A 20,184-nucleotide genomic window follows, 5' to 3' on the forward strand; every position below is an offset into this window, starting at 1 on the left:
TGGCACGTCCACACAGGCTCTGGAAGCCATGGACAACTCCTGCCCCCACAGTTGGGCACCCGTGGATATGGGATGGCTTGTGTTTGGCACCGACCAAAAACAAGCCTTTTTGGTGTGGCCAGAGGCCTCCAATCTGTGTCAGATATTTATTTATGCTGCTTATTAAGGGGTCTCCAGGCACCCCTGTGACAGAAGAGACTAATCAGTCATCAGCCAGGACCCAGGCATGTCCTGGGCTCCTGTGTCCAGCATGAGGTCTGTGGCTGATCTTGCAGCTGAGGCCTGAAGGGTGAGCGAACATTGACCTGTCCCAACTTTGGGCGGCCTCTGCCCCATAAGGGAGACTGAGCAGCCAGAGGCCTTTGAGGGGATGAAGGCCTGGCCTGAGCCCATGTGGCCTTAGGGTGGAAGCACCAGGACCACAGAACACGTGTCTGAAGACTTGCCTGCCTCTCACCCCTCTGTCACCCCTCCTGGGCCCCGGGGCCTGCTGCCTGCCTCTGGAGGGCTTGTCATCCACCCCTCCAGGGCCATGCCCTGACCTCTGTCCTCTCTACTTACCACCCAAGGTCAAAGGGAAGTGTACCACTGACCACATCTCAGCTGCTGGCCCCTGGCTCAAGTTCCGTGGGCACTTGGATAACATCTCCAACAACCTGCTCATTGGTGCCATCAACATTGAAAACGGCAAGGCCAACTCCGTGCGCAATGCCGTCACTCAGGAGTTTGGCCCCGTCCCTGACACTGCCCGCTACTACAAGGTGGGTCAGAGTTGATAGGGGCAATGCCAGTGGTCACTCCTGAAGGGGCCTGCAAGGCAGGTGCAGGGAGGACATTAGGGGAGTGGAAACTGGGAAGGAGGCCGACCAAGCCCAAAGGGGACTGCTGTGGAAGGGAGGAGAGGCCTGCAGCCCCTCCCTGTGGCTGAGAAGGCATGAGGCCCAGGTCCGGTGGTACAGCCGGGTCCCTGCACCAGGAGGAGTTAGTGAGAGATATCTTAGGATATCTGGCCCTAGACAAAGACAAGGAAGGGGGCCGACTCAGGAAGTCAGAGGCCAAAAGCTCAGAGAGGGGGCTACACGGGGCCTCACAGTGAGCAGGCAGAGAGGGTCTGAGGTGATTGGACTTTTTCTGCTTTGAGAAACAAACAGAACCAGGGCTGAACCCAAGTCCTGGCCCAGCCGGGTGAAAGGACTCTGGCACCCCCTGGTGGCTGGGTGGGGCAGAGGGTGCTCCCAGGAAGGGGGCGCCTTGAGCTTCACAGATGCATCTTGTGTGGGGCCCGGAGGCCGTCCCTGTCTCACCCAACCTCCCTCCACACACACCTGCCTCTGCCAAGCACCAATGGGTGGCTTCTGTCTTCTTTGCCACTGCAAACAACCACGTGCCTCTGTCCCCTCGGGGCCTCGTTTGGGTCTCATTCACGCAGGCTTCACTTGCCCTTAGGCAGCAGGCGAGGAAGGGCCCCTCCAGCCCCTTTACCGGGAGCCTCAGGATGCCCAGGCGCCAGGTGGGTGAGGCCAGGCAGGTAGGGCCAGACAGGTGAGGACGGTGCCCTCCTCTGCCTTATAACCTTACCCCCGCTTGCCTGACAGAAACATGGCATCAGGTGGGTGGTGATCGGAGACGAGAACTACGGCGAGGGCTCGAGCCGGGAGCATGCAGCTCTGGAGCCTCGCCACCTTGGGGGCCGGGCCATCATCACCAAGAGCTTTGCCAGGATCCACGGTGAGCTGGAGTCTGTACCCAGGCCATCCTCATCCCATCCCTAGTGATCAAGGTCACTCTCCCTGCCCGTGGCTGAGTTGGGCCTGGTTCTAGGCTGTGTCCACTGCAGCCCACAGGCCCGTCAGCCTCTTGCCCCTTCTTAGGCTCACACAGTGCACATCCGACGCTCAGCTTCCCGGCTTCCCGCAGGCCCTGCTTCCAGGCTTGTAGATCTGAGCCGCTGAGATCTAGGACATGTGCCAGGGGGTTCTTTCTGATCATGAATGTGCAGCAGGAAGGCCTCGCAGACCTCAGCACCAGCGCACACTTGCTAGGGGCACCCCTAGTGAAAGGGAGCAGACCAGGGCCCCATAGTCACTGCCCGGGCATTGTCCCAGGCAGCAGGATTAGGGGCATCTCCCAGAGCCCCAGATGGGTTCAGAAAATGAAGCTCTCCAGGCTAGTCAGGCCCCCGATGACCGAATGCCGCCTGCTTTCCAGAGACCAACCTGAAGAAACAGGGCCTGCTGCCTCTGACCTTCGCTGACCCGGCTGACTACAACAAGATTCACCCTGTGGACAAGCTGACCATTCAGGGCCTGAAGGACTTCACCCCTGGCAAGGTTAGGGGCCCGGGTCCCCCTGAGGTGGTGGGGTGAGGGGCAGCCACCTTGTTTCCCCTCCTGCACTGGCCCCAGGGTAGCTTCTCCCAGGAGGCTTCATTCCAGCTGGAAAGGCCCCCAGTTCTCCAGGTGGCCCCACAGAGAAAGCAAAGTGGCTTCTCAGAGTTGGGGGTTGGAGTCAACCCGGGGCCCTCACACCTCCCCAACCTCCCTTTACTCACCAGGACCTGGCACTCAGGGGACAGCCCACCCACTGCAGGACCCTCTGGGCCCCAGGAATCCCCTGTAGGTGCCACCTGGGTCTGACCTGGGCCATCAGGCACAGACTGGCCTAGGATTTGGTTTGCCTGCTGACCTCTTAGGTCCCCAGGCAGTGCCCTGTCTCCCTGACCCCCCTGCGGGGCCAAGGGCACACAGTACCCACCACTTCCACCCACACCCACCTTCTCCTTGCAGCCCCTGAAGTGCATCATCAAGCACCCCAACGGGACCCAGGAGACCATCCTCCTGAACCACACCTTCAACGAGACGCAGATTGAGTGGTTCCGCGCTGGCAGTGCCCTCAACAGAATGAAGGAACTGCAACAGTGAGGGCAGTGCCTCCCCGCCCCGCCGCTGGCGTCAAGTTCAGCTCCACGTGTGCCATCAGTGGATCCGATCCGTCCAGCCATGGCTTCCTATTCCAAGATGGTGTGACCAGACATGCTTCCTGCTCCCCGCTTAGCCCACGGAGTGACTGTGGTTGTGGTGGGGGGGTTCTTAAAATAACTTTTTAGCCCCCGTCTTCCTATTTTGAGTTTGGTTCAGATCTTAAGCAGCTCCATGCAACTGTATTTATTTTTGATGACAAGACTCCCATCTAAAGTTTTTCTCCTGCCTGATCATTTCATTGGTGGCTGAAGGATTCTAGAGAACCTTTTGTTCTTGCAAGGAAAACAAGAATCCAAAACCAGTGACTGTTCTGTGAGTGATTGGTGTCTGTGCCGTTTGTTGTCAAGTCCAGGGTCCAGGAAGGGTCTTTTCAGTCAAGGTCAGTGGAGGCCCAACAGCCACAGCCACAGATGGATCCATCACTGCAGTGAAGGAGGAGCAGGGCCTAGATGGTGGAGGAGCGGGGCAAGCTGGTGGGCACTCCTGGCCTTGCCTCACTGTCCAGCTCGAGACACTATCTCCTTAGCATCGGCCTCAGCTGCTGTTGTCTTCACAGCCGGCCATACCACCTTCCCGCAGGCTGGTAGGGTCCACTGTCCAGCCCCAGGGCTAGTTGCTGGTCCACCAGGAGAGAAGGCCCAGGCCTGGCTCACTGATGGATCCCTGCCAGGGATAAAGAACACGCACATTTCACTGACATGCTGGCTTGAACCAACCTGGACAGGAGGTGAAGGGAGCCCAGCAGGCCCAGCACAGGCAAAGAAGAGGCGGGGCACACGGCAGCCAAGAGGCTCTGGAGAGATGTGGGAGCCACAGCAGTGCTCCCAACGGGCACGCAGCACGCAGGGCGCAGACCCTTCTCCAGGGACTCCAGGCCCTGATAGGGTCAGGGACCCTTCCTCACCCTTAGGCCTGCCCTCCAGGGCCACCTAGGTTCTAATCGTGGCAGGAAGGCTGAGCAAACACAAGGCCCATGCTCCAGACGCATCCAACAGGGAGCAGCCTTGAAAGCCACTCTTCCCCGGAGCCCTCCCTTTTATTTCACTGCTGCAATGCTGCTCCTACAGGGAGCCCTACCTTTTTTTTGTTGTTTTTTTTTTTTGAGACAGTCTCGCACTGTCACCCGGGCTGGAGTGGAGTGGCACGATCTTGGCTCACTGCAACCTCCACCTCCCGGGTTCACACCATTCTCCTGCCTCAGCCTCCCAAGTAGCTGGGACTACAGGCGCCCGCCACCACACCCGGCTAATTTTTTGTATTTTTAGTAGAGATGGGGTTTCACCGTGTTAGCCAGGATGGTCTCAATCTCCTGACCTCGTGATCCGCCCACCTTGGCCTCCCAAAGTGCTGGGATTACAGGCGTGAGCCACTGTGCCCCAGCAGCCCTACCCTTAATCTCAGGGCTTTGATCTCTCCCAAGCCCCTTCCTTGATTTCTTTCTCCCTCAAACCCCTCCCTACCCCCCAATTTTTTAAAGATAGCATTTCATTGTGTTGCCCAAGCTGTAATGCAGTGGCACAACCTTGAACTCCTGGGCTTAAGGGATACTCCCATCTCAGCCTCCCAAGTAGCTGGGACCACAGGGCACGCCACCATGCCCTGCTAATTGTTTTTTATAGAGACAACTTCTCACTTTTTTAGCCAGGCTGGTCTCAAACTCCTGGCCTCACACGATCCTCCCACTTTGGCCTCCCAAAGTGCTGGGATTATAGATGTGAGCCACTGCACTTGGCCTCAAAGCCGCTTTATCAGTGGTCTTGTCCACCGTGAGCTCTGTCCCCTTTGCAAGCTGACTCGCCCACCCCACCAGCAGCCATGTACCTTTACTGCCTCACAGCCCTGGCCTACAGAAACTCAGGCTCTCCAGGGAGAAGTGACCAGCCAAGACCCCCCAAACAGGATCCCTGACCTGCTGGGGGAGATCCCAGAGCAGAAGCCCCAGGACACAGCTTCCAGCCCTGCACTCCGGCTCTCCCGCCTCATGGGGGCTTCAGCACCATCAGAGCCACTCACCACAAGCGTGTACGGAGCCTCCTTCTTTGGCAGCTCCTCACTGGAAGTGGTGGCATCTGCTGAGCTGGGCCCTGTGGGGGACGTGTCAACAAAGCTCTCGTCCACCACCCGGAAGCGGATCTCCTCGCCGGTGTCCATGTAGAGGTCGTGTGCTCCTTCCTCCGTCTCGTACTCCCACACCCACACCTGCTCCGCTTCGTCGCTGAGGGGGTCCAGGGTCAAGGCAGCAACCAGATAGTGGGAGGGGCTTCCCTCAGCACCCACTCCCCGACCCCGCAGGAAAAACCAATCTCAGGGTGAGATCACTGTGGCTGGGAAGTCACAGGAAAAGCAGGTCCCAGCCCCATGCACAAGGCCTGGGCCAAACAGAGAGGAACAAGCGCTCTTGGAGGCCAGGACCCAGGAAGGGGAACATGGGGTCCCCAGCCAGGCACCACGGCCAGACGCACATGGATCTCAGAGCACCAGAGCAGGAGGGGACGAGACAGGGTCCGAGTCCCACCTCTCAAGACAAGAGCAACCTGGGCCTCCTGCCACGGAGCCCCACACACCCTTTTCATCAAAGCCTTGTGACAGGCTGATGGGCACCCAAGGACTTGCCGTTTTCAAGAGGACATAGTGGGATGGGAGGTCACCTGCCCACTTGGATGACAGGTGGTGAGAGAACCAGCCGGGCTGCGCCAGGTTTTCTAACACATCCTGGAGTCACATGCAGACCCAGAGCCGTGCTGCCACCCAGCCAGGGCAGTCCCCCTTGGCTCTCCATCGTCCCTGGCAGAGCCCACACAGGGGAGCCATGGGTTCTCTGGTGGCAGTCCCACTGTTGGGTCCTGCCTCTGTGCCAGGTCCCGTGCTGTGCACCGTGGGTACAGCTGTGACATGTCAGAGTCCTTCCCAGTGAGGAGCCTCAGATTTGTGGATAGCCCCACAGAAACAGACAACCCCAGTACAGCAAGGTGAGGGGTGGGACAGGGACAACGGAGGCCCAGGAGGAACACATCTTAGCCCACGACCCGGCACACAGGCAAGGCCTCACGTCCCAGGGACCAGTGCATGCCTCCAGGGCAAGTGATCTTTAAGATGATTCCTGCAGGGACAACCTAAGTGAAGTGAACCGGAAGTGAATGGTGTCCCCCAGGACACCACAGCTCTAATGGTGTGCAGTGTACAACCCAGACAGCCAAGCCTGATGGCCCCGACAAAGACAGGCATGTGGGCATCACATGACTCCCTGCATGGGAGGCACAGACAGGCTGGTGCCTCTGGAGCAAAAGCACAGGCGAGGGGCAGGCACAGAGGCCAGTGACATCAGGTTACAGGCCCCAAAGGCCACCCTAAGGAGTGGGGACCTTCCTTTGGAGAGGCCTGAGCTCCCTGTGACAAACCACTTTAACCCTTGGAGGATACAACTTGGCTGGCTGCTGCAGTGACTCTGGGGGGATGAGAATGTCATCGAAGAAGCCTAGAGAGACTGGAAGGAAGGAAGCAGGTGACGGCCTGAGATGGGGGTCCCAGTGGACGCCAAACACTGCGGGGTCTTATGCTTGACAGGCAAGCCCTGCCTGGGGCTGCCCACGAGGCGGATGTCGCTGTGGAAACCTAGGCCCCTTCCCCACCTAATGCCTCTGCGTACACCACCCACATAGCGGAGCAGCCCTGGGCAAAGCCCGGAGCACCTAGTCCCCAAAACCTCTGCACACAACAGGGGCCAGTGGGCGCTAAAGACTCCCAGTCACTTCCGCCAGCTTCAGTGCCCACCCTGAAGTCCTGAGTGACGGCCTCACAGTGAAACCGCACTGCTGATGGAGGTCCTCACACAACACATAAAAGGGAGGGTGGGCAAGCTTCTCTGACACCACGGGGAAGGTTCGGCCTCGACACCTGAGCCCTCCCCTGACCATGTGGGTGGACACAGACCTCCTGCCCCCACAGTGTTCCCAAGTCTTGTCTGAGGCGTCAGGGCCACTGTTACCGTGCACTCCTTCTGGGCTGCAGCCTTTGATCTTCCCAATGAGAATCTCATCTAGGAATGGATGAAACACCACGCAGCGAAAATGGACTGGAAATGAAGACAGCCCATCAGTGATGCTGACCGGGGCCCCAGTGCGCTCCCATGTCACCCTCAGGTGCCAGCACACCTGGGGGCCTGTGTGGCTGCTCCATGCCACATCCCCCTGCAAGCCTAGACCCTCCCTTTGTCTCCTGCAAGTTCACAGCATGGCCCCCACAGGGGGGCAGCAGCAGCTGTCCTGTAACTGGGCACTCCCAAAACTGCCAGGTTACTCACACCTGAGCCCAGATTCTGAGCCATCAGTGGCTCCAAAGTCAATTTCAACCTCCCTCCAGGCTCTCCTTCAGCTCCTAAAAAGGGCAGAAGCAACTGGTAAAGAACGCAGGGTTTGGAAACTCCCACCTCCTGCTGAGCAGCAAAGTCGGCCCCAGGCACAGCTCTGACCTGGAGAGGAGGCTAAAAATGCCCTGGTGTTGTGAGGCGCAGGCCAGCAGCCCAGCAAAAATGCCTCTGTGGGTTCTCAGGCCATGCTGCAGGTGGTCCCCACTCACCTGACTGCAAGGAAAACACCAGGTGGGGTCTGTGCCCACATCGCACACTCTGACCCCAGGCCCTGGCATTAGCTGTATGTCACCTTGTCACTCAGGCCCTTGCTCGAAGCCCCAAAGTAGGAGTCCAACGCTGACCTGAGAATCAGCACGCGGCTGCCCCCTGCTGGTTACCAACAGAGTTCCCACCGTGAGGATAAGGCAGTGGCTCAGAGCCAGGGTGACCCACTCACAGCCACATAGCCATGGGGAGACACCTGGTCTTTCTGTACCCACCAGACAGGGCCACCGGGTCGAATCTTGCCTTCCTCAGACAGGTTTAATCCCAAACACAGGCTTCCACGATGCCGTCAACCATTTAGTCGGCCAACATGCCCCCCAGGACGGCAGGGACCCTGGCATCAGCAGGGCATGAGGAGAGGCAGCCGATGGACCTCTCACCCTGGGAAGACACAAACGTGAGCCATCACAGCCACCATGAAGATGACTGGGCCTTGTGCTGACCTCCCAGAGAGCAGATGAGGGCGGCCAAGGGCCACTTACGCACAGATGGAAAAACCCTGTCCCCCACATGGCCCAACATTCAGTTTGGTTTAATAAATCCTCACAGAGGCCGGGCGGGGTGGCTCAAGTCTGTAATCTCGGCACTTTGGGAGGCCGAGGTGGGCAGATCACCTGAGGTCAGGAGTTTGAGACCAGCCTGGCCAACATGATAAAACACCGTCTCTACCAAAATACAAAAATTAGCCGGGTGTGGTACCAGGTGCCTATGATCCCAGCCACTCAGGAGGCTGAGGCAGGAGAATCACTTGAACCAGGAGGTGGAGGTTGCAGTACGCCAAGATCATGCCACTGCGCTCCAGCCTGGGCAACAGAGCAAGACTCCGTCTCAAAAAAAAAAAAAACTTCACAGAGCCTGCACCAGGTTTGTGCCAGGCCCAGTCTGGGCACTGGGCTCACGGGGGTGGGACAGCACATGATCCTGCGCCCAGGGAGCCCCAGGCTGGAACAACCACATCCAAAAGCAAATGCTGGGCACCCGGAGTCCCCCATGGATGGATGAGTAAACAAAACATGCTGGAGACACACAATGGAATATTATGCAGCCTTACAAAGGAAGGAATTCTGACATGCACTACAGTGTGGCTCAACCTCGGGCTGAACCTTCACATGGGGCCAAGTGAAAGCAGCCAGACACAAAAGCCACACAGTGTGCGACTCCATTCATGTACAGTGTCCAGAACCACATCCATAGAGACAGAAAGCAGTTAAGTGGCTGCCAGAGGCTGGGTGAAGGACAGGATTAGCAGTGACTGCTACTGGGCGGGGTTTCTTTGTAGGGTGATAAAAACGCTGTGGAATGGCCCCGCGCACGGTGGCTCAAGTCTGTAATCCCAGCACTTTGGGAGGTCGAGGCGGGCGGATCACCTGAGGTCAGCAGTTCAAGACCATCCTGGCCGACATAGTGAAACCCCGTCTCTACTAAAAAAATACAAAAATTAGCCAGGCGTGGTATTGGGTGCCTATAATCCCAGCTACTTGGGAGGCTGAGGCATGAGAATTGCTTGAAACCAGGAGGCAGAGGTTACAGTGAGCTGAGACTGCGCCATTGCACTCCAGCCTGGGCAACAAGAGTGAAACTCTGTCAAAAAAAAAAAAAAAAAAAAATTGTGGAATTAGATAGTGGTGATGGCTTAGCTGATGAGGGTGTTGTTCCTGGTGGGAGGGGGCCCTCTCCTGCCCTGCTCATATCTGCCTACTTACCATAACCCCTGGAGGCCTGTGGTGCCAGTCACTGTATTCCTCCATTCCTATAGTTCCTCCAAACTGGAACTTGCATCTAGAATTTTTAACAGATTCAACTCCTAGCGTTTAGCAACAGAACTGCCTCATAATCGGTGTTGAGTTCTTCCACCAGGAACTATATAATGCTTGTTTGTCTCTCTTTGGGGGAAGCTAAAAAGTTAATGATCATTGATGAGATCTGTCTTCATAAGGAGTTGCAAAATGGTGATAATGTAATTAAAAAAAAAAGATAGTGGTGATGGTTGCACAACTCTTAATATACAAAGCCACTAAATTGTATGCTTTGAAAGGGTGAATTTTGTGGTATGTGAATTATATCTCAGTGAAAAAACAGAAGGACACAGAGCAACAGGCTGGTCAGCCAGGAGAGTGCTGGATCTGCAGTTCATCTCACAAGAGCCCCACCTGGAGGTCTAGGGATGTGTAGCCTGCAGAGGGGATGCCTGGAAAGTCAGAAAGGATGAGTCTAAAGGACCATCAAGAAGAGGAAGGAAGCTGGGCGCAGTGGCTCACGCCTGTAATCCCAGAACTTTGGGAGGCCGAGGCGGGCGGATCACTTGAAGCCAGGAGTTTGAGACCAGCCTGGCCAACATGGCAAAACCCAGTCTCTACTAAAAATACAAAAATTATTAGCTGAGCAGGCCGGGCGCTGTGGCTCACGCCTGTAATCCCAGCACTTTGGGAGGCCAAGGCAGGATGATCCCCTGAGGTCGGGAGTTCAGGACAAGCCTGATCAACATGGAGAAACCCCATCTCTACTAAAAATACAAAATTAGCCGAGCATGGTGGTGCATGCCTGTAATCCCAGCTACTCGGGAGGCTGAGGCAGAATTGCTTGAACCCGGGAGGCAGAGGTTGCAGTGAGCCGAGACTGCACCACTGCACTGCAGCGTGGGCGACAGAGTAAAACTCTTGCATTTTTTAGAGACAGGGTTTTAGCATGTTGCCCAGGCTGGTCTCGAACTCCTGACCTCGTGATCCGCCCGCCTCAGACTCCCAAAGTGCTGGGACTACAGGCATGAGCCACCATATCTGCCCCGTGAAAAAGTTCTGGAGGTGGGCCGGGCGCGGTGGCTCACGCCTGTAATCCCAGCACTTTGGGAGCCCAAGGCGGGCGGATCACGAGGTCAGGAGATCGAGACCATCCTGGCTAACATGATGAAACCCCGTCTCAACTAAAGATACAAAAAAAAATTAGCCGGGCGTGGTGGCGGGCACCTGTAGTCCCAGCTACTCGGGAGGCTGAGGCAGGAGAATGGCGTGAACCCGGGCGGCGGAGCTTGCAGTGAGCCGAGATCACGCCACTGCACTCCAGCCTGGGCGACAGAGCGAGACTCCATCTTAAAAAAAATGAAAGTTCTGGAGGTGGATGGCGGTGAAGGTTGCATAAGAATATGAATGTGCCTAATGCCACTGACTTACACACTTAAAATGTTTAAATTGGTAAATTTCATGTTATGTATATTTTACCACAATAGAAAAAAATGAAATAAATGATAAACATGTCAAAAAAGGTTTAAAAAAAAAAAAAAGGCCAGGCGCAGTGGCTCATGCCTATAATCCCAGCACTTTGGGAGGCCAAGGCGGGCGGATCGCCTGAGGTCAGGAGTTCAAGACTATTCTGGCCAACATGGCAAAACCCCATTTCTACTAAAAATACAAAAATTAGCCAGGCGTGGTGGTGGGCACCTGTAATCTCAGCTACTCGGGAAGCTGAGACAGGAGAATGGCTTCAACCCGGGAGGCAGAGAGGTTGCAGTGAGCCAAGATGGTGCCACTGCACTCCAGCCTGGGTGACAGAGAAGACTCTGTCTCAAAAAAAAAAAAAAAAAAAGGCTTTAAAAAAAAAAAGGTGGGGGGTGTCTCTGCACCAACTCTAGCTGAGGAGGCTGCCCGATTTGCAAATCAATATAACATTTAAAAATGTTAAAAAATAAATAACTAAAGGTGGTCACAAAGGAGCGCTGCTCTAGACTGAGAGCAGGGCCCCCGATCAGTATGGGGCAGGCGGGGGCAGGGTACAGCAGGTCCCAGGCTTGGAGGATGTGGGGAACACGGGCTGGCACCAAATGTCGAGGGATAAACTTGGCCAGTGGGGGTCAGGGTCCCATGCCACAAAGGCCATCATCTGTGAGCACTCCCCACGTGCGGGGCGCTAGACCACAGCTTCACTCAGACTTGCTCGTTGACTCCTCACAGATATTTGATGAAGGAGGAAGGCTCTATTACTGTTATTATACTGTGTGCACAGATAGGGAAACCGAGTTTCAGAGAGGTCAAGCAACTGCTCCCAAGGCCCAGGCAAATAAATATTCCTCTGAGCAAAGGTGAAGGCACAGCATGACCTGGTGCTGAGCCCTTCAGCACTGGCTCAGTGACAGCCCTGAGTGAGGCTGTGGGGTTGCAGGAGAGGGAGCAGTGGGAACAGGGCCTGGGGTCAGGCATCAGCCTCAAAGCATGGCAATTGGTTCCCACCACAAAATCACAGTTCACCCTGCATGGTGCTCAACAGGACTTTTATAGCTGCAGGGTTAACCCCATTGTACAGAGGAGGAAACCAAGGCCGAGAGAAGCAGAGGTACCCGCCCAAGGTCCCCATCCAGGAGACCAGAGCCAGAATTAATTCAAATCTAGGTCCTTGTGATCACTCCATGCCTCCCACCTGGTTCCCAAGAAAACAGAGACTCAGGACAGATGAGGGTGGGGGCTAATAAAAGCCAGCAGTAGAAATCTTCCAATTGAATAGACAGAATTTCCTCCAACTTTTTTTTTTTGAGACGGGGTCTCTCTCTGTCACCCAGCTGGAGTGCAGCGGCGTGTTCTTGGCCTCCTGGGTTCAAGCGATTCTCCTGCCTCCACCTCCACCTCCCAGGGAGCTGAGATTACAGGTGTGTACACCACCAGACCTGGCTAATTTTTTTTTTTTTTTTTTGAGATACAGTCTCACCCTGTCGCCTAGGGTGGAGTGCAGTGGCACAATCTCAGCTCACTGCAACCTCTGCCTCCTGGGTTCAAGCGATTCTCCTGCCTCAGCCTCCGGAGTAGCTGGGATTACAGACATGTGCCACCACACCCAAATAATTTTTTTTTTTTTTTTTTTGAGACGGAGTTTCACTCTGTTGCCCAGGCTGGAGTGCAGTGGTGCGATCTCGGTTCACTGCAAGCTCCGCCTCCTGGGTTCACTCCATTCTCCTGCCTCAGCCTCCTGAGTAGCTGGGACTACAGGTGCCTGCCGCCACACCTGGCTAATGTTTTGTATTTTTAGTAGAGACAGGGTTTCACCGTGTTAGCCAGGAGATCTCCTGACCTCATGATCTGCCCGCCTCGGCCTCCCAAAGTGCTGGGATTACAGAAGTGAGCCATCGTGCCTGGCTTTTTTTGTAGTTTTAGTAGAGATGAGGTTTTGCCATGTTGGCCAGGCTGGTCTAGAACTCCTGACCTCAGGTGATGCACCCGCCTTTACCTCCCAAAGTTCTGGGATTACAAGCGTGAGCCACCACACCCGGCCGCAACTTGACTTTTTTCTCCAAGTTTTTCTGGAAGTTCTAGTACCTATTACCACTTGTCTCCTGGACAACCAAGGCCCCTGTCCAAATGCGGAGACTGGGCTCAGCTCGGCATCCTTCTCTGTAAACAGAGGCCCTCGTGGTTGTTTTCACACTGCAATCTTATTTCTCTGCTAATGAAAATGCTCCTAGTCTGTACAAAGACAGCCTGTTTCTTCGGCCTCTCGGCGTACCATGGTAACATCCATGCGAACTAATTAATTCCCTGAATGGCTGGACACAGACACTAGGCAGTCTCACAGCATACTCTGGAATGTTCTGGCATCTCTGTGCTGAGAGGCTGACCAGTATGGACTACAGCAGGGCTTATCCAACATGAGCTCGTGTGACAACCACCTGGTACCTTGTTAAAACAGTCTTTGGGGCTGGGGGCAGTGGCTCACGCCTGTAATCCCAGCACTTTGGGAGGCCGAGGTGGGCGGATCACGAGGTCAGGCGTTCGAGACCATTCTGACCAACATGGTGAAACCCCCTCTACTAAAAATACAAAAATTAGCCAGGCGTGGTGGCACGTGCCTATAATCCCAGCTACTCGGGAGGCTGAGGCAGGAGAATTGCTTGATGCTGGGAGGTGGAGGTTGCAGTGAGCCAAGATCACACTTCTGCACTCCAACCTGGGCAACAGAGCAAGACTCTGTCTTAAAAAAAAAAAAAAGTATTTGGACCCATCCCCCAAGATTCTGACTCAGGCGGAGGGAGGCCTGGGGCAGGCTGAGAATTGCGCTCTGAGTGCCCAAGGGATGGCAGGCTTGGCGCCTGCGCTCTGGGAGCCTGAACCGTCTCAATGGGCCTCTCACCATCTCCTATACACTGGTTTGGTCCAGACATGAGAATGAAGAATGCCCCTCTCCTGGGGCTCATCACCTCCCTTGACTGGTGGTCCTGGCTCCTCTCAGGGTGGTCCTCTCTCTACTCCTCCCTCCTTCCAGGATCTGGTGATCACCTTCCATTCCTGGATGCACACCCTTTTGCAATGTGACTGCAGTTTCTCCCACCCAGAGGTGAAGTCTATTTCTCCATCCCCTCACCCTAGCCAACGGGATGGAAGCAGAGGCTTGAGAAGTACTTACGCACTGAACTTTGGAACCTTAAAACCGCCAAGCCCAGCCTGGCCTACTGAAAGATGAGACCATGTGGGGCAGAGATGGGCCAGCCCAGCCCAGGCCCCCAGTAACCAACCAGTCTGCCAACCTTCAGAATGTGAGACCGTCCTAGATTGTCCAGCCCCAGGCCAGCCAGATGAGAGGAAAACCACCCAACTGACCGACAGAATAGGGAGAAACAATCCACGCTGATAAGTCACTGAGTGCTCGTTAGGTGCCAAGGCTCTGTCCTAAGAGCTTTCATGTATTAACTCCTTAATCCTCACAATGGTCTTAGAATATAAAATCTATCCTAAACTGCAGTTGACATCCTGAACTGCAACTGACAGATAAGGAAGCAGAGGCACAGAGCAATGACATATTCAGCCAGGACACACAGCTAGTAAGAAGCAGAGCTCAGCTTTTAATCTTGAGGCCACACTCTTACCTACTGTGTCCTACTATCCAAGTCCCCCACCCCCAGCCAGCCTGCTGATCCCCCTTCCGTCTGCTCTCCACAGGCAGCGGGAAGCCCGAGGAATGGACAAGGTGCAGGGCTCAGTAGCAATGAGACCAAAAGGGCACAGACACAGAGCTATGAAGTCAGAGCTGAAGAGGCCTTGAAAACCAACTAGTCCACATCCCAGGCCTCACAGATGAGGGAACAGAGGCCCAGAGAAGAGAAGTCTGCCGCTGTCACCGGGTCAATTCCTGGCCGATTCAGGATGAGGCCCCACGTCTCCCAGCCTCCAGGACTCCCACCACCCTCTGGCCATCTCTTTGACTTTAGCCTTTTAAAATTTTTTCATATTTTATTTATGTATTTAAAGACAGGGTCTTGCTATGTTGCCCAGGCTGGCCTTGAACTCTGTGGCTCAAGAGATCCTTCCGCCCTCAGCCTTACAGGCACGCACCACTGAACCTGGATTTGGCTTGACCTTTGGCTACAGAAAACTGAGCCCCAAGAAGCCCAATGCCCCAGGGACAGAAGATACCCACCTTTGGTGTGTGATGCGCCATCCCCAGGGAATACATAGGCATCCTCCAGTTTGGTGATATCAAACAGACAAATGCAGAGTCCCACGTTGTACACGACCTGCATGCATACAAACACAGACACACAAGTACACATGGATACAGAGTGACCACAGGCCCAGCTCCCAGGCAATCTGAGCCCCTCACAACCACAAGCAAGCCATGATTATCTCCTTTTTTAGGTGAAAATGAGTTTGTGGAGGGGACCAGGGTAAGGAACCTCAGAAGGATGCAGAGCTCTGGAAGGAGCAGGGCCTCGGGTGACAAAACAGGTCCAGGTTCCAAGGCCAGCTCCACCACCCACTGTGTGACTGCCAAGAGGGTCACTTCACCTCTCTGAGCCTCGGTCTCCCCATCTGCAAATGTGAAATACCAGGCTGCAGAGTTATAAAATAAAGAGAGATAACAGATGTGAAGCCCCTAGCCTTGTACCTGGCTCGTGTATTGGAAACCATCATCATCAAGGATCTTTGTTATTACTAGTGAGGACCAGTGACAGGAATGCTGCCTAAACGTGCACTCTCCGACATCCCAAAGCCAATGCCAGAGCTCACAGTTTAGTGAGCGTCACAGCCACAGCTAAACCCCACTGTGCTCACAACATCTCAGACACACAGACGCAGCCACAGGGACTGCAGCTGGCAGAGGGACACAAGACCTAGGCCCCAAGAATGTGCAGAAATCCCATGCCCTCACCCCACACCACTGTGGTTCAAACGACTGGCTACTCAGTGTCTCCTTATCTGCCACCGTGTCATCACCCCCACTTAGAACCCTTGCAAGAACTGTCCAAGAATTAGCAAGAAGCTCAGAGAACTCAGAGTCGTGGCCAGACCTCACCAAGATAATGCCACAAGATCTGTGCCCTTTGTCAGACCATGGATTTCTGTGTGGGCCCCCTCTCAAACGATTCATCTAATCAAATACTAGAAGACTTGTCCCAACAGGACCTCTACCCCAAAGGGACTATATTCCCTTCTTGGACTTTCCACACCTTCTCTCTCAAGGTCCACACCTCCATCCCCCAACAGACCCTCATCTTCAACCTCACAAAGTAACCAGAAGCCATCCACTTAAAGACTCCATGAGTTCCCTTCACTATCTAGCAACCCCCAAATCAACCTCACCTCTTCTGAAGGGACCTGTCTCATGCGTAAAGCCAGCTAAGCATCCTCTTTCTGGCTCCTTCTCAGCCCATCACCTTCTGATGCTCCACGGATAAAGACCAATACCTCAACTCCGACATCCTACAGGGCTGTGTGGCCTGGCCCCCACCCACCTGTCCAGCCCACCCTCCCCTCTGCCCAAGCCACACCAGCCTCTTCCACACCATGGTGGGTATTTTACCCCTTCTTCTTTTTTTTTTGAAGCGAAGTTTCACTCTTGTCACCCAGGCTGGAAGGCAGTGGTGCGATTTCAGCTCACTGCAACCTCTGCCTCCTGGGTTCAAGTGATTCTTCTCCCTCTGCCTCCCAAGTAGCCGGGATTACAGGTGCCTGCCACCATGCCCAGCTATTTTTTGTATTTTTAGTAGACATGGGGCTTCACCATGTTGGACAGGCTGGTCTCAAACTCCTGACCTTGGGTGATCCACCCGCCTCAGCCTCCCAAAGTGGTGGGATTACAGGTGTGAGCCCCCACGCCCGGCCTGTATTCCTTCTTCACAGGGCCTTTGCACATGCCAGTTCCTGCCTTCAGGGCTCTTCTCTCCACCCAGCCCCCTCCCACCCTAGAAAGGAATCCTCTGGTTGGCTCCACTTCACCATCAGATCTCACCTTCAACCCCACCTCCTCAACAAAGCTGCAGGTCCCCTCATTCCAGGGGACGTTCCTTTGTTCCACAGGTGTGTGAACACCTGTCCCTCATAACATTTACCTCAATTTGTCACCAAACACTCAACTGTGGACCCTTCTCATTCATATCTGCTTTCCCACCACACTATAGCACAGAGCCTTGTCTCTGTTTCATTCATTCAGTCAACAAATGGCCGGGCACGGTGGCTCACACCTGTAATTCCAGCACTTTGGGAGGCTGAGGCAGGCAGATCACCTGAGGTCAGAAGTTTGAGACCAGCCTGGCCAACATGGTGAAACCCCGTCTCTACTAAAAGTACAAAAATTAGCCAGGTGTGGTGGCAGGTGCCTGTAATCCCAGCTACTCAGGAGGCTGAAGCAGAAGAATAGCTTGAACCTGGGAGGTGGAGGTTGCAGTGAGCCAAGATCGCTTCATTGCACCCCAGCCTGGGCGACAAGAGCGGCACTCTTGTCTCACACACACAAACACAAAACAGAAAATTATGGGACATCTACTCCCGCCAGGCTTTGGCTAAATGAGGGGATACTTCAGGGAAGAAGGCAGATAAGGTCCCTGCTCTCAAGGAGAGGGAAAGGAAAAAGTCTAAGAAGGAAAGAGAGTGATGTGACACAGAATACCTGGAAAGGGAGGACTGTCAAAGAAACGGCAGTGGGAAGACCTCTCAGCTGGTACTAAGGCACACAGGCACAGCACAGAGAAGGCGCACAAATATTGGCTGCTGGAATGAAGGGATGAACCTCCTGACAGTTAATTCTGTACTACTAGAACTCTCCATCTTCACGAAAACAATGCATTGACCCGAGGCGATGGCGCACACCTGTAATCCCAGCACTTTGGGAGGCCGAGGCGGGGGGATCAAGAGATCGAGACCATCCTGGCCAAAATGGTGAAACCCCGTCTCTACGAAAAATACAAAAATTAGCTGGGGGTGGTGGCGCGCGCCTGTAGTTGTCCCAGCTACTCGGGAGGCTGGGGCAGGAGAATCGCTTGAACCCGGGAGGCGGAGGTTGCAGTGAGCCGAGATCGCGCCACTGCACTCCAGCCTGGACGAAAGAGCAAGACTCCGTCTCAAAAACAAAAAACAAAACAAAACAAAACAAACAACAACAACAACAAAAACAATGCATGGCTGGAAGGACAGCAATATTTTATCCCCATTTTAAAAATGGAAACTGAGGCCCAGAAGGGGTCAGTAACTTGCCTGCAATTGCAAAGTAATTTAGAATTGTGGAATCTAACACTTCCAGTTACAACTCCCTTTTTCAAGCCCATTTTCTTTTGATCCCCTTCAATATCTCCTTTCACGGTGAAGAAAAGTTCTGAGACATTAAGCTGCTTGCCCACGGCCAGGGCTTGGCATGACCGAGGCCGGGCCTGCGGCCAGTGGGCGGCGCTCGCTCTCCCACGCCAAGGCCTGCCCGCGAGCCGTGGGCCCAGTACCTTGTTGGCCAACTTCTTGTTCAGCTCCTCGGCAATGGAGTCGTTGAGCTTCCTCTCAAACTGCCAAGGGGGGATCCGGACGGTGTCCACCATTTCCACCAGGACGAACATCCCGGCCTGCGCTGGGGGCTCTGGGAACAGGAGGGTCAGTCACGCACCAGGGCCGGGGGCAGGGAGAATCCCCGAGCCCCTTGGTCCCGTCCCAGTCGCTGAGGCCCCCAGGCTGGCGGTGAGGTTGCACGGGGCGGTCTCGGGGGCCCGGTCCGGGCCATGCTCCGCTACTACAACATGAGGAAACTGAGGCCAGAGGGAGGCACTCTCCGTCCACAGCTCCGGGTGCGCGCCCGCGCCGCGAGACCCCGCCACGCCACGCCACTCCACGCCACGCCACTCCACGCCCCGCACCCGCGCCACGTGCCGCCGCTCGTATCACGCACCACGCACCACGCACCGCGCACAGCCGCTCGCGCTTGCGCGACTGCGGGCGAGATTCCGAATCCATCGCTTCCGGAAAACTCACCAATAAGAAACCTCTGTCCACCCCCACCCCGCCGAGGCGGGGCGGGGCTGCCTGTGTGCTCGCGCACAGCGTGGGGCAGAGAGAGGGCGAGGAGAGGGCGGGGCCTCCTCCTTTCACAGGAGCAGAGCGGTTCCCCCGCCCCCGACAGCGCTTTCTGTTGCTAGGCGACCTCCGTGCAATCCCGCCTGATTATCCCTCGCCTGGCCTGTGCTTTACCCGCATTGCTGTCCTCTGCTCGGCAGCCAGAGTGATCCTTTGGAAACGCAAACATATATTACCACATCTAAGTTAAAAAAAAAACCCACCGCAAACATAACATGCTTAGCACCCTTAAGTGTTCCGGAGACAAGGAGAATTAGCAGGAAAGGGGCACTTGGGACTGTTCTGAGATGATGGAAATGTTCTGTATTTTGTTTTCGGTGGTATAACATTGACGTATATAATTGTCCAAACTAATTGAACTCGGCAAGATTTTTGCATTTATTTGTAGACATTATGTTCCAATTGAAAAGTTATAATAAATTGGAACAAAAAACACAACCCATTGAACTTAGAATACTAGATCCAAGCCGGGCGTGGTGGTGTACACCCGTAGTCCCACCTACTCAGAAGCCTGAGACAGCAGCATCGCTTGAGTCCAGGAGTTTGAGGTTGCAGTTTGAGGTTGCATGCTGCACTCTAGCATGGGTGACAGTGACACCTCATGTCTAAACGAAAAAGAAGAAGAAGGAGAGGCGGAAGAAGAAGAAAGAAGAAGGAGAAGAAGAAGAAGAAAGAAGAAAGAAAAGGGAAAGAAGAAAGAAAAGAAGAAAGAAAGAAGAAAAGTCCAAAACCTTTATGGTAGTTCACACGGCCCTGCAAGATCTGACCATACCCCCCTCCTATAGCCCCATCATGCTCTGTCTCGCTGACATTCCAGTCTCATTCATCTTCACGTGATAGCATGGGCTAAGAGAATTTGGTAGCTTACCCAAGATCACGTGTTGACAAGTGGTAGAGGTGGGCCCAGTCTGAACCTCACTACCCTGCCTCTAAAAATTGGTGGGGTGTAGATGTATACTGTAGTGGGTTTTTTTGTTTGTTTGTTTGTTTGAGACGGAGGATCGCTCTGTCGCCCAGGCTGGAGTGCAGTGGCGCGATCTTGGCTCACTGCAAGCTCCGCCTCTCGGGTTCACGCCATTCTCCTGCCTTAGCCTCCCGAGTAGCTGAGACTACAGGCGCCCACCATCACGCCTGGCTAATTTTTCGTATTTTTTTTTAGTAGAGACGAGGTTTCACCGTGTTAGCCAGGATGGTCTCGATCTCCTGACCTCATGATCTGCCCACCTCAGCCTTCCAAAGTGCTGGGATTACAGGTGTGAGCCAC

General features: G+C 54.7%; 2 protein-coding genes across 10 annotated transcripts in view, besides 10 other annotated features; one reads left to right on the forward strand and one right to left on the reverse strand.

Moving 5' to 3' along the window:
* Window positions 1–3,282, forward strand: part of ACO2 (aconitase 2) — a 59,858-nt gene extending 56,576 nt beyond the window's left edge. Inside the window, exons 15-18 of the mRNA NM_001098.3 lie at window positions 570–761; window positions 1,596–1,728; window positions 2,209–2,330; window positions 2,787–3,282. Of these exons, the coding sequence (NP_001089.1) occupies window positions 570–761; window positions 1,596–1,728; window positions 2,209–2,330; window positions 2,787–2,921 (582 nt within the window). The 3' untranslated portion in view covers window positions 2,922–3,282. The remainder of the gene's footprint in view (window positions 1–569; window positions 762–1,595; window positions 1,729–2,208; window positions 2,331–2,786) is intronic.
* Window positions 107–18,914, reverse strand: POLR3H (RNA polymerase III subunit H). Of its 9 annotated transcripts, none has more exons than NM_001282884.2 (7): window positions 18,819–18,914; window positions 18,299–18,429; window positions 15,007–15,103; window positions 6,967–7,053; window positions 6,402–6,465; window positions 4,995–5,196; window positions 107–3,644 (listed from the first exon to the last, which is right to left on the reverse strand). In NM_001282884.2, the coding sequence occupies exons 2-7, from the start codon at window positions 18,407–18,409 to the stop codon at window positions 3,591–3,593; spliced, it is 615 nt and encodes a 204-aa protein (NP_001269813.1). In that variant the 5' UTR covers window positions 18,410–18,429; window positions 18,819–18,914; the 3' UTR covers window positions 107–3,590. The 9 variants fall into 9 exon arrangements, with proteins under 9 accessions (NP_001269813.1, NP_001269814.1, NP_612211.1 ...); NM_001282885.2 differs by lacking the exon at window positions 18,819–18,914 and adding an exon at window positions 18,743–18,778; NM_138338.5 differs by lacking the exon at window positions 18,819–18,914 and adding an exon at window positions 18,736–18,778.
* Window positions 595–809: a silencer, noted in NCBI's record as "fragment chr22:41922291-41922505 (GRCh37/hg19 assembly coordinates)". NCBI's record gives its function as "represses an EF-1alpha promoter that drives an FKBP-Casp9 reporter gene in an ReSE screen in HepG2 liver carcinoma cells {active_cell/tissue: HepG2}" and the evidence as "EXISTENCE:reporter gene assay evidence [ECO:0000049][PMID:32094911]".
* Window positions 6,209–7,017: an enhancer, noted in NCBI's record as "H3K27ac-H3K4me1 hESC enhancer chr22:41927905-41928713 (GRCh37/hg19 assembly coordinates)". NCBI's record gives its function as "activates a minimal SCP1, AML or CMV promoter by ChIP-STARR-seq in naive H9 embryonic stem cells {active_cell/tissue: H9 hESC(naive)}" and the evidence as "EXISTENCE:reporter gene assay evidence [ECO:0000049][PMID:30033119]".
* Window positions 7,018–7,826: an enhancer, noted in NCBI's record as "H3K27ac-H3K4me1 hESC enhancer chr22:41928714-41929522 (GRCh37/hg19 assembly coordinates)". NCBI's record gives its function as "activates a minimal SCP1, AML or CMV promoter by ChIP-STARR-seq in naive H9 embryonic stem cells {active_cell/tissue: H9 hESC(naive)}" and the evidence as "EXISTENCE:reporter gene assay evidence [ECO:0000049][PMID:30033119]".
* Window positions 7,619–7,668: an enhancer, noted in NCBI's record as "active region_19119". NCBI's record gives its function as "activates an Ori minimal core promoter by ATAC-STARR-seq in GM12878 lymphoblastoid cells {active_cell/tissue: GM12878}" and the evidence as "EXISTENCE:reporter gene assay evidence [ECO:0000049][PMID:35858748]".
* Window positions 8,713–9,007: a silencer, noted in NCBI's record as "tiled region #5669; K562 Repressive DNase matched - State 14:Gen5'". NCBI's record gives its function as "represses a minimal TATA promoter and a strong SV40 promoter by Sharpr-MPRA in K562 cells {active_cell/tissue: K562}" and the evidence as "EXISTENCE:reporter gene assay evidence [ECO:0000049][PMID:27701403]".
* Window positions 18,139–18,976: an enhancer, noted in NCBI's record as "H3K27ac-H3K4me1 hESC enhancer chr22:41939835-41940672 (GRCh37/hg19 assembly coordinates)". NCBI's record gives its function as "activates a minimal SCP1, AML or CMV promoter by ChIP-STARR-seq in primed H9 embryonic stem cells {active_cell/tissue: H9 hESC(primed)}" and the evidence as "EXISTENCE:reporter gene assay evidence [ECO:0000049][PMID:30033119]".
* Window positions 18,299–18,398: an enhancer, noted in NCBI's record as "active region_19120". NCBI's record gives its function as "activates an Ori minimal core promoter by ATAC-STARR-seq in GM12878 lymphoblastoid cells {active_cell/tissue: GM12878}" and the evidence as "EXISTENCE:reporter gene assay evidence [ECO:0000049][PMID:35858748]".
* Window positions 18,409–18,498: an enhancer, noted in NCBI's record as "active region_19121". NCBI's record gives its function as "activates an Ori minimal core promoter by ATAC-STARR-seq in GM12878 lymphoblastoid cells {active_cell/tissue: GM12878}" and the evidence as "EXISTENCE:reporter gene assay evidence [ECO:0000049][PMID:35858748]".
* Window positions 18,549–18,678: a silencer, noted in NCBI's record as "silent region_13792". NCBI's record gives its function as "represses an Ori minimal core promoter by ATAC-STARR-seq in GM12878 lymphoblastoid cells {active_cell/tissue: GM12878}" and the evidence as "EXISTENCE:reporter gene assay evidence [ECO:0000049][PMID:35858748]".
* Window positions 18,869–18,968: a silencer, noted in NCBI's record as "silent region_13793". NCBI's record gives its function as "represses an Ori minimal core promoter by ATAC-STARR-seq in GM12878 lymphoblastoid cells {active_cell/tissue: GM12878}" and the evidence as "EXISTENCE:reporter gene assay evidence [ECO:0000049][PMID:35858748]".

The sequence above is a fragment of the Homo sapiens genome, chromosome 22, assembly GCF_000001405.40.
Source record: "Homo sapiens chromosome 22, GRCh38.p14 Primary Assembly".
Lineage (NCBI taxonomy): Eukaryota > Metazoa > Chordata > Mammalia > Primates > Hominidae > Homo > Homo sapiens.

Excerpts from the sequence above, each read along its gene's own strand:
- POLR3H (NM_001282884.2), bottom strand. The coding sequence starts at position 18,409 with ATGTTCGTCCTGGTGGAAATGGTGGACACCGTCCGGATCCCCCCTTGG. Across the intron at positions 5,197-6,401 it reads CTGCAGCAGCCAGCCAAGTT|CGACGAAGCGGAGCAGGTGT; the intron begins GTATCCTCCAAG and ends GGACCCCCTCAG. Across the intron at positions 3,645-4,994 it reads AGGCTCCGTACACGCTTGTG|GGATCCATCAGTGAGCCAGG; the intron begins GTGAGTGGCTCT and ends TATCCCTGGCAG.